The 16,343-nt window shown below is 41.6% G+C and overlaps 1 protein-coding gene and 1 pseudogene across 3 annotated transcripts in view; both read left to right on the top strand.

Moving 5' to 3' along the window:
- Positions 1–16,343, top strand: part of BCORP1 (BCL6 corepressor pseudogene 1) — a 47,723-nt pseudogene that overhangs the window by 17,285 nt on the left and 14,095 nt on the right. For both annotated transcript variants that reach the window (NR_002923.2, NR_033732.1), the window contains exons 2-4: positions 5,575–5,700; positions 10,966–11,229; positions 11,725–11,964. The product of NR_002923.2 is annotated as a BCL6 corepressor pseudogene 1, transcript variant 2 (transcript). The remainder of the gene's footprint in view (positions 1–5,574; positions 5,701–10,965; positions 11,230–11,724; positions 11,965–16,343) is intronic.
- On the top strand, positions 2,414–4,253 carry LOC102723934 (BCL-6 corepressor-like). Its single transcript, XM_047442786.1, has 3 exons — positions 2,414–3,460; positions 3,541–3,552; positions 3,865–4,253. The coding sequence occupies exons 1-3, from the start codon at positions 2,437–2,439 to the stop codon at positions 4,251–4,253; spliced, it is 1,425 nt and encodes a 474-aa protein (XP_047298742.1). The 5' UTR covers positions 2,414–2,436.

The raw sequence follows: 16,343 nt of genomic DNA, 5'->3' as shown, positions 1-16,343 counted from the left end.
TCTTCTTTTTTTTTCAATGTGATGTGTTACATTAATTGGTTTTGTGTATGTTAAACTGTTTCTCAGAGATGAATACCATTTGATCATGGTTAACTATCTTTTAATGTGTTATTATATTAAGTTTGCTAGTAGTTTTTGAGAATTTATGTATGTGTCCATCAGGAATACTAGCCTGTGACTTTCTTTTCTTGTAGCATCTTCTCTGTCTAAGCAGTAAATAATTAAAGGTGCTCTTCAGGGAAATGCTGCAATTTTTTCTGCTGCATATTGGGATTTGAAAGATGGCACCAAATATTTTACATACTTTTGAAAACAAGCCCCAAGACAAACATAGCAGCCTGGCACATATATGCAGCTTCCTGTTCAGACTATAGCAGCTGATGGTTATGTTATAAAACTGTGTGTCACCTATAATTTTTAAATATTTTTATTTTTATTTTTTTGAGACAGGGTCTCACTGTGTTGCCCAGGCTAGAGTTTTTGTCGTCCACTGAAGGTTGCTTATTCTGTTAAAAATGTCTTCCTACACTCAAGAAAAACTAAGTGAATACTCATCTTATCTAAACCTTAACAGGCCTTGGGAGGGTTAGTGTGAGTTCTTTACCCAGTAAGGGTGGTGCTGACAGTTTTGGAGTTGGTAGCTTCTAAGTTGCAGCAAACAATTTTTGCTGAGGAGGCAAAATTTCCAGAGTGAATAGACAACTTAATATCCTTTAAATCTGAAAGGATCATTGTTTTATGCTTTTAGAATTATAGTTTAACAGAGGTGTGAAGAAAACAGGCAGCACAATGCCCTAAGAAGGAGTCTGCATAAGGGAAAAAAGCAGTTCACGCAGATACTATATTTCTTACTTTATCTTTAACCCCTTCTGCTCAGATGTTAGGCTGATGTCATATTGAACTACTTGGCAGTTTCTCTTATGTACTGCTACTGCTGTTTTGAAGGAGTGTCCCAAGTAACATCTATGTTGTTGCTCTGCCAAGGTGGATGCAAATTGGCTTATCAGATTGACGGCCTGGAAGCACTGATCATGGACCACACAGGCCTGAAACAGGAAGGGCTCCTGTTCCCCAGAAACACTGTCTTTCTAGTTTGAGCAGAATGAACTCCAAGCAAGATCATGAGGTTACCATGAACACTGTAGGTGGCCTTGGGTTTTCTTCAGAAATAAATCCATAGATGCAGTTCAAACTAAATATACCTGAGATAGTGGAAGATTTTGCTGTCTCTGAAAAACCCCCAGATTGCTTCACTGCTGTATGTAAAACACCGCCTGGAATACAAAATGCTTTCAGCACAGCAGAAACACTTGGCTTGGACAGGCCTACCAGCCACAATCATAGGCCTTGCAACATCTATGATGCTCATTACCTGCAGCTACCCTGGGTCAATCCTTACATGGAGAGTGCCACACCAGCCATCCATCCTTCCCTTGATTTTCCAAATATGTATTCACAGAACATGTTCTGGCTACCTCAGCAGTCCTCCAACTTGGCCCAGCTGCTATGTTTTCCAGGAAACAGAAATAGGAAGCAATTTTCCTACCTGCCATCACCTTGCTATTTCAGTCCCCACATCCCATTGTCCTTGGCATCACCCATGAGGCTTTCAACAGCTTTGGCCATCTCAGCCATTCCACCTCTCTTCCGCTGTGCAGACAAAAGCGTACCACGGAGGATGGCCATCAGTCCCCGGAACGCCATCAATTCCCACACCTATCCTCATATTCAGAACAGGAAACAACCAGGGTGCCATTTGCCAAGGCAGTTGCTAGTGGCTTTCCAGGCGATACAACTCTCGTGTTCTGTGCCTCCCCTCAGCCCTCACCCCAGGTCCACCTTCCCACCCAGGCTGTTGCAGACATATTCTCTGAGTTCCATGAGCATTATGCCAGGATCTCTACCGCTCCTTCAGTGACACTGTCAAAGGCAAACATGATGGGCAGTGAGTTCCCCACAGCGAGGCTCTCCAATAGCAAATATCCTGAGACCCTGGAAGTGGGTGAGAGTGCTCAGCCAGTCCCCATGTACACCTGGAAGACAGTGGCTCAAGACAGGAAAGATGGTGTCTCACCTCCTCTGTTAGAGAAGCAGAGTATTACCAAAAGCATCTCAAATAAGCCAGTAGAGTTGTCTTCTAAAGTGGTGGAGGTAGATGCTTCCAAAGCTGATCACATGAAAAAGATGGCTTCCATGGGCCTGGTTCACAGCATGGCTGGAAGTGGCTTAGTGCTCTCCAGAAGTGAGATTCTGAAAGAGATATCTTCTCTAAGAAATGGCTGTGCTATCTATAGATCTGAATTTATTAGCACTGATCCATCATCCTGGGTAGTACCCAGGCCAAGAACTAATGAAGAGAACAATGGTGAAAGCATGTTGAAAAACAAGGTGATGGACTGGATGATAATACAACAGCAAAGTTCTTTTTACCTTTGCATGAATGGCAAAGGAACTATGATCCCTAATGTTTTGGGGTCAGTGTCCTGTGCAGGCCACCCCACCTCTATATTAACTCTATATTACCAGTCCCCAACCCCACATAGGGCAGATGGCACTAGGACCAACAGGAGCTCTGTGGATACCACATCATCCATCATTCAGCAAGTGGGCCAACCTCCAACCGTGCCTGTCAAGCAAAGCAGCAGCACTAGCAGCAAGGTTGCCAAAGCCAGCAGCCCAGAACTGAGTTTCAAAGCAAATAAGAATGGCCTTCAACCAAGCCCCCTATTTCTACCTCCAAATGAGGCTTTCAGGCCCCCATCAATTTCCCACCCCAGAAGTTACTTTCCTTACCCAGTACCTAAGGCCACTGCTATAAGACCCTTCTCCTTACATGACAAAGGGCCTGTCTACCCTCATCCAGTTTTGTTGCCCAACAACAGTCTCTTTCTGGGGTGTCTTGCCTCAAAGCCTAGACTGCCTTATGTGGTGCCCATGGGCCATCCAGAGTTTCTGATCTACCAAGATGCCCTGGGATTTGGCATGGTGCAACCCATGTTGATAACACACAGGCCCATAGAGATCACCAAAAAGGAGAAACCAGAGAGGAGGTCACATTCCCAAGAAAGAGCCTGCCGCAAAGACCCAACTCTCCAGAATCAGTTTTCTGAGATGCTGGAAGCTAGCAGTACAGCGTTTCATCCAGAAGTCCCCAATGACAGTCTAAAACTGAACCCCAGCTGGAATCAAGGTAAGATTATTATCAGAAGTGATAAGGTTGTTTATGTAGACCATCTCCAAGAAAAAACAGATGCTAAAACTGATGCAAATGTGTCCAAACCCAGCTTCATAATGAAAAGTGTTGGCCAGAATGCTGACCCTGCCAGTCCCCCAATTGTCAAGCCATACCTGCAGCAGCATGGTGATTTCATCACCCTAAGAGAGAAGTTGGGGCACATTGATGACTTTCATGAACCTTATACTATCAAACAGACTCCAACCAACAAAGAGAAAAAAGAGGAGAAACCAGAGAAAGATCCCATTCCCATGAAAGAGCCTGCCACAAAGACCCAACTGTCCAGAATCAATTTTCTGAGATGTTGGAAGCTGGCAGTACAGAGTTTCATCCAGAAGTCCACACTGACAATCTAAAACTAAACCTCAGCTGGAACCAAGGGAAGACTGTTAGCAGAAATAAAAAGATTGTTTACATAGACCTTCTCCAAGAAGAACCAGATGCCAAAACTGAGGCAAACATGTCCAAACCATGCTTTACAGTGAAAAATATTGGTCAGAATGCCAAGCCTGCCAAGCCCCCAATTGTCAAGGCATCCCTGCAGCAGCATGGTGATTTTATCATGCTAAGAGAGGAGTTGGGGCACATTGGTGACTTGCATGAAGCTTATGCTCTCAAACGGACTCCAGCCAACAAAGAGAACATAGGGATGCCAGTTTCAACATCATTCCTGGAGCCAACTCTAGTGAGTGATGGTCATGCTGTAACTTTTGGTAAAATCCAAGAGTATCCCAAACCATATTGCCTTGGCAGTGCCCCACTAAGTATGGACATAATCTCTACTTACACCAAAGATGGAGCCAATGAGGCCAAATCAAGTGATGGCAAACTTCTGAAACCAAAGCCATCTAACCTGGTAAAGAGAGTCACCACCTCAGCAGGTTGCATGGCTGACCGACTCAAGTGTGTTACTACTGAACTGTATGCAGATTCTAGTCAGCTCAGTTGGGAGCAACGGGCATTGCAGGTCACCCCCTCTACCCACCTTTTAGCAACTTTACCTGTAGTTACAGTTTAAATATGTAAAGAGTACTGGGGGAGTATGGTAGGACATGGCACTATGCAGATTTGACTAATGAAGCTTATTGTAATTTGAATGTATATATTATGTCCAGTAAGGGAATGTGAATAGTAGTACTTAGGATATACATGTTTCTGGATACTTTGCTACAGAATCTGAAACTTTTGAATGCCACCATCATGCCCCAAGTGGAAAAGCCCACAAACAAATACTTAACGTAAACTTTGTTACATATGCAAAATTGTTAAAAATACTGAATAAAATTACTTTTAGGCTATGTGTGTAAAGTGTATGTGAAACATAAATGATTTTTTTGTATAGACTTGGTTCTCATATTCAAGATACCTTATTATGTATATGTACATATTCCAAAATCTGATAAAAAATTAAAATAATTGTCCCAAGCATTTACAATAAGAGATGCTCAGCCTGTAACAGAAGTTTTAATTATTGTGAATAATTTCTAAAAAATGCATGGCATTTACCTATCAATTGATTTTATTTTTCTGTTGATAAAATAACCAATATATCTAGCTGCTCAGAATACCTTACTTGATACTTGCTTGAGAAGATGTGTAGCAGCTGTGGTTCTGCAGGATCGTGCAACTTACACACACACACACACACACACACACACACACATTCGCTCTCTCTCGCTTACTCCTGTACCTCTTGGCAGAATGGGATATAGCATATATTTAACTTGATAGTTAATTATGATACATGTTGTATAGGAATTTTCTAAGATTTTTACTTTTATTTCAAAGATGAATAGGCCACTTTTTTTGGAATGTTAAAAAGAATTTGTTTTATCTTTATAAAAATAAATGAAGTTATTTAAATGACCCCCTGAGTGCCCATTTTAATTACATGACTAGAAGAATTAAAAAAGGACAGTATTTTATGTCTGCCTAGTGTTTATTATGGGTTCAGTTCTTCAAATTTATGTTTTTCATATTATTGTCATTATAATATTATATAAGCCTTTAAAGTTAAATTTTATTTCCAAATATTCAAAAGGTAGTTTATAGCCTATATTCCTTGTGAGATTTTTTTCCTGCTATTTCTGTTTTGTGTGTATGCTGTGTTTTTATTTCCAAAAGAGAATGTGCACAAAAATGTGTTCACTGATATACATGCTTATAGCTTGTGTGTCTAGATACATAAACTCCTTGAAAACAGTATGGTTAAAGAGTTTATGTCCATGGTTAATTTTGGGCAAACATTTGTTTGGACATATTTTTCTTTAGTGTAAGACAAATGAAATAGCATTTATAATAAGGTGTTGATGTTCATCCCTCTTTTTTTTTCCATTCAGAAACCAAGGACGCCAAGCCATACAAATTCAGCACAGCTGACTCAGAGAGGTGGAAAGGAAATCAGGACAAAAAGCCAAAATGTCTTCTGGAGGAGGATATTGCCAGCCAGAATAACTGTGAGAGATGTAGGTACAGCTGAGCCACTTGCTTTGTGGCTCAATTACCACATTGGTGGCAACAGGGTGATCCTGTTCCCAGGGCCCAGGGAGGTGAGATAAAGCAATCACATACAAGATTCTGACTTCTGTTTGGTGTCTTCTCAGAAAAATGGGCTGTTTTTGCCATCTGTGGAGTGAAGGACTGATTGTCTTTTTAATCATTGTGGCAATCAGGAATGAATTATCTGTGAAAGATAATTTCCTTTTAATAATCTATGAAGTATTATTTTCCTTTAGACAAGGACACATCTCGTTTTATAAAGGAGGCTTGGCCCTATAGTTAGAAACAGTATAATACAATTTTTAGGTTTTTAATTATTGATTTATTTTTGTTGATACATAGTAGATGTACATATTAGCCCTTCCTTCGATAATGTGGGTTTCCTTCTCTTCTGCCAGCCACTTCACTGAAGCAGACCTGGGGTGTGTTTGGTCGCAATGCCTGGGCAGAAATTATTGGCTCAGGAACTTCTCTTCCAGGAGAATATGCCTGAATGCTTTGTAGATTATCTTGAATTAGATACAGAGAAAGTTGATGCCCGTGATGGAGAGGGCATAAGTTATAACAAGGTTAGTCTCAGCTGGAGCTGATACAGTTGCCTGCAGAGGAAATGGATCATGGGAAACCCTCAAAAGTCTCAGTCTCCTCCCATCTTGTTAGGGCCCAGCATCTGTGGCACCAACAGTGGCAGAATTTATTTTTGCTGTGGAGACTTGTAAATGTTGCCATGGAGATACTTCTATGAGGTACTACTATGGCACAGCTGTGATAAATTATGGAATGTATGTGCTGTGTCTCATAAGACCATGTTGCAGGGAGCAGGTGGTAGACCTCAGATAACAGACTTACATTCTTATCTATCAAGGGCACATGGTTTTCTGCTTTTTAGAAGGGCTTAAAATAACAGCTATGGTAGAGTCTAATGGTTAGGACCCCTACATCTCTTAATTTATATCCTTTGCCATGTGATTAATGCTGTGTGTGATGACTGAAATAGTCTAATTTGAGAACATCCAGGTTAAGATGTGCAGCAATGGAACATAGAACTTCTCACCTGTATAGCTGGTAGTCTGTGTATCTTGGGCCATCACTGTGGGCAGAATTATTACTGGCTTTTGTAAGGCCATGTAATATCTTGTGAGGGGAGTGGCAGGGGTTCATTCAGAGGAATGAGAATCTTTGACCGAAGAGGTAATAGTGAAGATACCTCAATTCTTTGAAATTATTGTCCCTTTTTTTAATGACTTGGAGGATTTGGGAAATGGTGAATGGAACCAGTTTTGGGGAAAAATCCTTTTGAGAGGTAGGGGAACTCTATGTGAGTAAATGTGATTGCAGTGAACCCCACGTTTAGCAATGGAGGGTTCTTGATAATAGTTCAGGATGAGGTCATGGTCCCCTGGGTTTCCTGGTACTACATGGGGTGTCGGGAGAATGCCCATGAGATGAGTTACAACCTTCCAAGGCACAGTTGTGTAGCAGGCTGGCCATCCTTTTCTGGCTGGTCTCCTCATGAAGAGGGGAGCAAAAGGTGGTATGTGAAGGGGAAACCTCCCTACCCTCACTGGGCAGCTTTTGCCAGATGGGAAATTTTGGAGTAGACAAGAGTCAGCCAGGGCTCTTATAGAGGTAGTGTCATTCACTGAGCAGAGAGATGAGGTTACTAGCCAATCATTGCCCACTGACTTCATCCTGTGAAATAACTCATCACAACTCTTCCAGTAAAAGATGCTCTCAGTTTGGGCAAAAGGTCAGGTGGATGAGAGATAATTTTGCAGTAGGGGTAAAACTTAATTGGAAAACTATCTCCTCAAGAAAAATGCCTTATACGAAGTTGAGAGTGTTAGAGATATAGGTGACCATATGAGATCTGTAGTTCAGATATAAAGGACAAAAGTAGAATCTAAAACACTCAGGTTAAGAGCTTCTTAATCTGATATTTGATGTGGGAAGGGAAGTTCATTCTGGGTTGGGTCCCACACTAGCTAAGCTGCTTCCTGATTGTGACTCTCAAAGGCATTGTGACACCATGCAATCACTTTTTTCAAACCATGTTTTCTACCTTAAAGGAGTTAAGGAGAGAAGACAGTACACTTTAAAAGTTTAAAAGTATACTTTTCCACTTGCACATGGCATTTCCTAAGATAATACTTAGGTTTTCACTCTACATCCCCACTCCCTCCCATGGTACATTCAGGGGAGGCTAATTGGATCAAAGAAGTTGAATGATCTAACTAGAAGAATTCATGTCTTAGTATGTTTTCTACTGGTACAAACAGGGTAATTTATAGTTAACAGAAATGTATTTGCTCATAGTTCTGGAGGCCAAGAATTATGAGGGACTGCTCTGGCAAGCTCCATCTTCCAGTTGCATCCCATGATGGAAGGCAGATGGGAAAGAGAGCCCAAGGGAAAGAGAAGAAGGGGACTAAACTCATTTAATTTAATTATGAACTCAGTTCCACAATAACTAACTCACTCTCACAGTAATGACATTAATTAATGTCCCATGGTCATGACTTAATTACCTCTTGCAGGTCCCAGTTCTCAACACTGTTGGATTGGGGACTAGGTTTCGAACACTTGAATATTGGGAAACATTCAAACCATAATATTCCATCTGTAGTCTTGAAAATTCCTGTCCTTCTCATATGCAGAATGTATTCATTCTGTCCCAATAGCTCCACAATCTTAACTCATTCCAGCATCAACTCAAAAGTCCAAAATCTAGAATCTCTTCTTAATCAGATATGAATGGGACACAAGACCTAATTTACTATAAGACAAATTTCTCTTCTACTGTGAGCCTGTGAAGTTATGTGCTTCTAAAATGCCATGGTGGAGCAGGCATGGGAAAGACATTCCCATTTAAAAATGGAGAATAGGCAAGAAGAAAGGAGTAACTGGTTCCAAGTAAGCCCAAAACACAAAAGAGGGAGAAAAACAACAACACTGAGTTTTTTTTTTTTTTTTTTTTTTTTTAGACAGAGTCTCACTCTGTTGCCAGGCTGGAGTGCAGTGGCATGATCTCAGCTCACTGCAACATCTGCCTCCCAGGTTCAAGTGATTCTCCTGCCTTAGCCTCCTGTGTAGCTAGGACTACAGGCATATGCCACCACTCCCAGCTAATTTTTTGCATTTTTAGTAGACATGGGGTTTCACCATGTTGGCCACAATGGTCTCGATCTCTTGACTTTGTGATCCATCTGTCTCAGCCTCCCAGAGTGTTGGGATTACAGGCGTGAGCCACCCTGCCCAGCCAACACTGAGTTATAAAGCTGGACAATAATATCTTTTGATTTCATGTCTTACATCATGTACACTGAGGTAAGAGTTCAGCCCTCAAGGCCTAGGCATTCCTGCCTGAATGATTTTGCTGGGCTTTAGTCCACCCAGAAACTCTCATGGTTTGGAGTTACATTCCTATAGCTCTTCCAGGCTGAAGTTGCACTCTGGTTGTTCTACAGTTCTGGGCTCTTGGAGTTGACTCCAGACTCACAGCTCCACAAAGCATTACTATAGTGGGAACTCTGTCCTGGCTATCTCCCTATGCCATGTCTCTGCCTGAAACCCCAGGCTGTCCAAAACATCTTTTATAATGCAGGTGAACGTGGCCCTGGCTCAGGGATTATGTGTACCTGTAGAGTCAGAACTATATGGATATTATTATAGTTTAAGGCTTATCCCCTCTGGCAGTGTGACATGAGGCACATCTGGGCCAGCTTGAGCCATTGCTGGGGCAGCCAAAGATCACTGCAACAAAATGCAGGGAATAGATACTTGAGGGGGTGTACTTGCCTGCAAGGCCATAGCTTGCCTCCAAAATCTCTCAAATGCCTTCAGGCTCATTATCCCATTGCCTTGATGAATAGCACCTGTTTTCCTTATATCTGAACTATCTCTTTAGCAAATGATAGCTTTGCTATATGTTGTTTTTATTCTTTTGAAACCACTTTGTTTTTCTTTACATGACTAGACAGAGTTTGCCAAATATATTCATTTTGCTTTCTTTTTAATTACAGATTTTGTCTTTAAATCATTTCTCTTTTCTCTCATTTTGCTGGTAGTTTGCCAGAAGAAGCCATATAGTACCATGAATGTTTTAAGACTTAGTGTTCTTCTAGATATCCTAGTTCATCGCTCTTAAGTCCTGCCTTTCACAACATCCTTGGACATGAAGGCAATTCTGCCAACTTCCTTGAACTTGTTTTAGCAAGGGTAGCCTTTCATCCAGTTTCTGGTGACATATTCCTCATTTCCACACAAAACTGCTGTCTGTAGTTCTACATACATTTTCCATACAAAATTGCTGTCTGTAGTTCTACAAACATTTGATTAGTCCCAGCTGGTGTGACCAGTGTCCTCATTGTGGTGGTCCTATGTTGAACAGGAAATGGAAGCTCCTTGGATTCAGTGAAAAGCTTTTCCTTCCACATTTCCTTGCACATTTGTGCAACCAGCAGACTGAGTTTTTTTAAATTGTCTCTGAACTTGTGCATGTGCTGTCAAACCTTGTCTTTGGCTTTTCCCAGACCCCTCTTCGCAGCACCTTAAGTCTGCCCAGGTTCTCAGCCTTCCTCTGGCAGTTGTTTCCCTCTGCTGATTTTGCAGGCAACTGCCATGTCCTGGACCATGGGCCCTATGGAAGAGATGATTACTTCTGCCCATTAAGGGTTTAGGTTTCTTTTGACATGCTGTCTCCCTTCCCTCCTTCTTCATGATCTCTGCTGTTGGTCCAAGTGAATATTGGTGTTACCACTTCAGTAGATGACATTTTGGGTATATTTTGTGTCTTCATCTCATCAGCCTTTTATTTCAAAATAATGACCTCAGCACGTATTACTGTAGAGATATTTATGCCGGTCCTGGCTTGATTGGATCATGCTGCTGAAAGAAAGGACTGTAATATTTTTTTTTAAAAAGATAGCATTGATGTCTCATCTTCTTTCTTATTTGTCTCATTCCCCTAATATACAGAGATAGAAGGAGAGAATTATGAGTGTGGTGTATGTCTAACTTTCTGCTTTGCTTGCTGCTCATCTTCAGTGTATCCTTCCTTTGGACAAGTCTATTTATGAGAACTTGATATTAACAATGTGAGAACTCCAGTTTCTAAAGAAGCATCTGTCAATAGCAGATTACCTTGGCATGGTCTCAGCTGTTCCCTGAATCCTGCCTTCTCTTGGTGATTTTTGAATTCACTTATGTATTCTGGTTTTCTCTCCTGCTAGGCAAGCATAGTCCTGGAAACAAACAGCACAATTCCTTTAAAGCCCTAAAGGATGAAGATCTTCCTGTAGAGAAGTATTTAATGGAAAGGCAGCCTGTAGGTGAGCCAGCTGCCGACCAGGTAGCTATGGATGTGATGCACAGCCCCATCCTCCAACTGGAAAGGAAACACAAAGTCTCAAGTGACAGCAACCAGACAGAGACTACTGCAGAGAAGTTGCCAGAGGACTCTTTCCTAAAAAACAAGCAAAAACAGGTTTATATAGGTGAGTTTTGTCACCTTTAGCTGCCTTCTCAGTGGGCCTGTGCATACAGTCACAGTGGACAGACATGGCCTGTTGATGTGTGGCATGTAGCCCCATAAACAGAATCAGTGGAAGGAAGCCATGACACATAGCAGTGAAGAGTTTTTATTCCCACTCCTCTTCCATGAGATTTCCACCATGGAGCCCCACAGACTCCACTCATAACTTACTTGCTTTACAGCCAGATGCAGGCACTCAAGCCCAGAGAGGGTAAAAAATAATTAGGTTCTCTCCCAAAATCAGAGAGAGTAACCACACTCCTTTCCCTTCTCCTCCCCTCACACTACTGGTGATGCATAAAGTCATTTGTTCTTTCAAGGCAGCATTTGGATTAATTTTTAGTTATTTATTCATTAGATACCTGGCCCTAGAGGGAAGTAACAAATTCCTCTGTCTACTTAGAAGACCCACATTATAGTGAGCTGACCAACCTGAAGGTGTATATTACATTTACAGGGCTACATCCTAAGAAACACCATTTGATGCACCTTAGAGAACAGTAGGAGCAGCAGGTGTTGGCAGCAGAGAACAAACCTAGTCTGCAAGGCAGGAAGGAAGTGACCCAGACAGTCCAGCCTGAGGTCACTGCCTGGGATTGTGATATCATGAAAGAGAAACTCAGCAAGAAAAGGGCAGAGGTCAAAGGCAACAGAAGCTGGTTGGAAGAATTTCTTAAACCCAGTGACAACGAAGAAGGTATGCAGAGGCCACTTCTTGACTACCCTACCCACTTCCTTGTGGAATGTACAGAGAGAGTTGGTACGAGAGTGCTCTGTTCTCTTGTCTGAGCACTTTGCAGAAAATTGTTACTTGCAGTTTGATGTGTTAACCTATTTTCCATTTAAATGAGGGATAATTATGTCTGAAAACTTAATTTTAAAATTGAAGTTGCTCCAAAGTAAGAGTTAACAGTGGGATTTTCGAAATATTGTCCAAGATGGCTGAATAGGAACAGCTCCAGTCTACAGCTCCCAGCATGAGCGACACAGAAGATGGGTGATTTCTGCATTTCCAACTGAGGTACCGGGTTCATCTCACTGGGGACTGTTGGACAGTGGGTGCAGGACAGTGGGTGCAGCACACCGAGCATGAGCCAAAGTAGGGCAAGGCATTGCCTCACCCAGGAAGCACAAGGGGTCAGGGAATTCCCTTTTCTAGCGAAGGAAAGGGGTGACAGATGGCACCTGGAAAATCGGGCCATTCCCACCTGAATACTGCACTTTTCCAATGGTCTTAGCAAATGGGACACCAAGAGGTTATATCCCACACCTGGCTCAGAGGGTCCTATGCCAACGGAACCTCGCTCATTGCTAGCACAGCAGTCTGAGATCAAACTGCAAGGCAGCAGCGAGGCTAGGGGATGGGTGCCCGCCATTGCCAAGGCTTGATAGGTAAACAAAGCAGCGGGAAGCTCAAACTGGGTGGAGCCCACTGTACCTCAAAGAGGCCTGCCTGCCTCTGTAGACTCCACCTCCAGGGGCAGGGCATAGCCAAACAAAAGGCAGCAGAAACCTCTGCAGACTTAAATGTCCCTGTCTGACAGTTTGGAAGACAGTAGTGTTTCTCCTAGCATGCAGCTTGAGATCTGTGAATGGACAGACTGCCTCCTCAAGTGGGTCCCTGACCCCTGAGTAGCCTAACTGGGAGGCACCCCCTAGTAGAGACAGACTGACACCTCACATGGGTGGGTACCCCTCTGAAACAAAACTTCCAGAGGAATGATCAGACAGCAACATTTGCTATTCACCAGTATTCACTGCTCTGCAGCCTCCACTGCTGATACCCAGGCAAACAGGGTCTGGAATGGGCCTCTGGCAAACTCCAACAGACCTATAGCTGAGGGTCCTGACTGTTAGAAGGAAAACTAACAAACAGAAAGGACATCCACACAAAAACTCCATCTGTATGTCACTGTCACCAAGACCAAAGGTAGATAAAACCACAAAGATGGGGAAAAAACAGAGCAGAAAAACTGAAAATTCTAAAGATCAGAGCACCTCTCCCCTCCAAAGGAAGGCAGCTCCTTACCAGCAATGGAACAAAGCTGGACGGAGAATGATTCTGATGAGTTGAGAGAAGAAGACTTCAGATGATCAAACTTTGCCGAGCTAAAGGAGGAAGTTCGAACCCATGATAAAGAAGTTAAAAACCTTCAAAAAAGATTAGACAAATGGCTAACTAGATCAACCAATGCAGAGAAGTCCTTAAAGAACCTGTTGGAGATGAAAACTATGGCACGAGAACTACGTGATGAATGCACAAGCCTCAGTAGCTGACTCGATCAACTGGAAGAAAGGGTATCAGTGATGGAAGATCAAATGAATGAAATGAAGTGAGAAGAGAAGTTTAGAGAAAAAAGAATAAAAAGAAATGAACAAAGCCTCCAAGAAATATGGGACTATGTGAAAAGACCAAATCTACATTTGATTGGTGTACCTGAAAGTGATGGGGAGAATGGAACCAAGTTGGAAAACACTCTGCATGATATTATCCAGGAGAACTTCCCCAATCTAGCAAGGCAGGCCAACATTCAAATTCAGGAAATATAGAGAATGCCACAAAGATACTCCTTGAGAAGAGCAACTCGAAGACACATAATTGTCAGATTCACCAAAGTTGAAATGAAGGAAAATATGTTAAGGGCAGCCAGAGAGAAAGGTTGGGTTACCCACAAAGGGAAACCCATCAGACTAACAGCTGATCTTTCAGCAGAAACTCTACAAGCCAGAAGAGAGTGGGGGCCAATTTTCAACATTCTTAAAGAAAAGAATTTTCAACCCAGAATTTCATATCCAGCCAAACTAAGCTTCATAAGGAAGGAGAAATAACATCCTTTACATATAAGCAAATGCTGAGAGATTTTGTCACCACCAGACCTGCCCTAAAAGAGCTCCTGAAGCAAGCACTAAACATGGAAAGGAACAACTGGTATCAGCCACTATAAAAACATGACAAATTGTGAAGACCATCAAGGCTAGGAAGAAACTGCATCAACTAACAAGCAAAATAACCAGCTAACATCACAACGACAGGATCAAATTCACACATAACAATATTAACCTTAAATTTAAATGGGCTAAATGCTCCAATTAAAAGACACAGACTGGCAAATTGGATAAAGAGTCAAGACCCATCACTGTGCTGTATTCAGGAAACCCATCTCATGTGCAGTGACACACATGGGCTCAAAATAAAGGTATGGAGGAAGATGTACCAAGCAAATGGAAAAGAAAAAAAGGCAAGGGTTGCAATCTTAGTCTCTGACAAAACAGACTTTAAACCAACAAAGATCTAAAGAGACAAAGAAGGCCATTACATAATGCTAAATGGATCAATTCAACAAGAAGAGCTAACTGTCCTAAATATATATGCACCCAATACAGGAGCACCCAGATTCATAAAGCAAGTCCTTAGAGACCTACAAAGAGACTTAGACCCCTACACAATAATAATGGGAGACTTTAACACCCCACTGTCAACATTAGAAAATGAGATCAATGAGACAGAAAGTTACCAAGGATATCCAGGAACTGAACGCAGCTCTGCACCTAGCGGACCTAATAGACATCTGCAGAACTCTTCCCCACAAATTGACAGAATATACATTCTTCTGAGCACCACACCACACTTATTCCAAAATTGACCACATAGTTGAAAGTAAAGCACTCCTCAGCAAATGTAAAATAACAGAAATCATAACAAACTATCTCTCAGACCACAGTGCAATTAAACTAGAACTAGAACTCAGGATTAAGAAACTCAATAAAAACTGCTCAACTACACGGAAACTGAACAACCTGCTCCTGAATGACTACTGGGTACATAATGAAATGAAGGCAGAAATAAAGATGTTCTTTGAAACCAATGAGAACAAAGATACAACATACCAAAATCTCTGGGACACATTTAAATCAGTGGGTAGAGGGAAATTTATAGCACTAAATGCCCACAAGACAAAGCAAGAAAGATCTAAAATTGACACCCTTATGTCACAGTTAAAAGAACTAGAGAAGCAAGAGCAAACACATTCAAAAGCTAGCAGAAGGTAAGAAATAACTAAGATCAGAGCAGAAGTGAAGGAGATAGAGACACAAAAAAACCTTCAAAAAAATCAATGAATCCAGGAGCTGGTTTTTTGAAAAGATCAACAAAATTGATAGACCACTAGGAAGACTAATAAAGAAGAAAAGAGAGAAGAATCTAATAGATGGAATAAAAAATGATAAAGGAGATTTCACCACCAATCCCACAGAAATACAAACTACCATCAGAGAATACTATAAACACCTCTATGCAAATAAACTAGAAAATCTAGAAGAAATGGATAAATTCCTGGACACATGCACCCTCCCAAGACTAAACCAGGAAGAAGTTGAATCCCTGAATAGACCAATAACAGGCTCTGAAATTGAGGCAATAATTAATAGCTTACCAACCAAAAAAATCCAGGACCAGATGGATTCACAGCCAAATTCTACCAGAGGTACAAGGAGGAGCTGGTACCATTACTTCTGAAACTATTTCAATTAATAGAAAAAGAGGGAATCCTCCCTAACTCATTTTAGGAGGCCAGCACCATCCTGATACCAAAGCCAGTCAGAGACACAACAAAAAAAAGAGAATTTTAGACCTATATCCCTGATGAACATATGAACATCGATGCAAAAATCCTCAATAAAATACTGGCAAACTGAATCCAGCAACACATCAAAAAGCTTATCCACCATGATAAAGTGGGCTTCATCCTGGGATGCAAGCCTGGTTCAACATACACAAATCAATAAACACAATCCATCATATAAAAAAAAGCAACGAAAAAGACCACATGATTATTTCAATAGATGCAGAAAAGGCCTTTGACAAAATCAACAGCCCTTCATGCTAAAAACTCTCAATAAATTAGGTATTGATGGGACATATCTCTAAATAATAAGAGCTATCTGTGACAAACCCACAACCAATATCATACTGAATGGGCAAAAACTGGAAGCATCCGCTTTGAAAACTGGTACAAGACAGGGATGCCCTCTCTCACAACTCCTATTCAACATATTGTTGGAAGTTCTGTCCAGGGC

Source organism: Homo sapiens, chromosome Y (assembly GCF_000001405.40).
Source record: "Homo sapiens chromosome Y, GRCh38.p14 Primary Assembly".
In the NCBI taxonomy this organism is placed as follows: Eukaryota; Metazoa; Chordata; class Mammalia; order Primates; family Hominidae; genus Homo; species Homo sapiens.
Note: the sequence above shows the minus strand (reverse complement) of the source record. Positions and strands in the feature narration are given on the sequence as shown.

What these genes read in the sequence shown, in the direction of transcription:
- LOC102723934 (XM_047442786.1), top strand. Translation starts at nt 2,437, where the DNA reads ATGAATGGCAAAGGAACTATGATCCCTAATGTTTTGGGGTCAGTGTCC.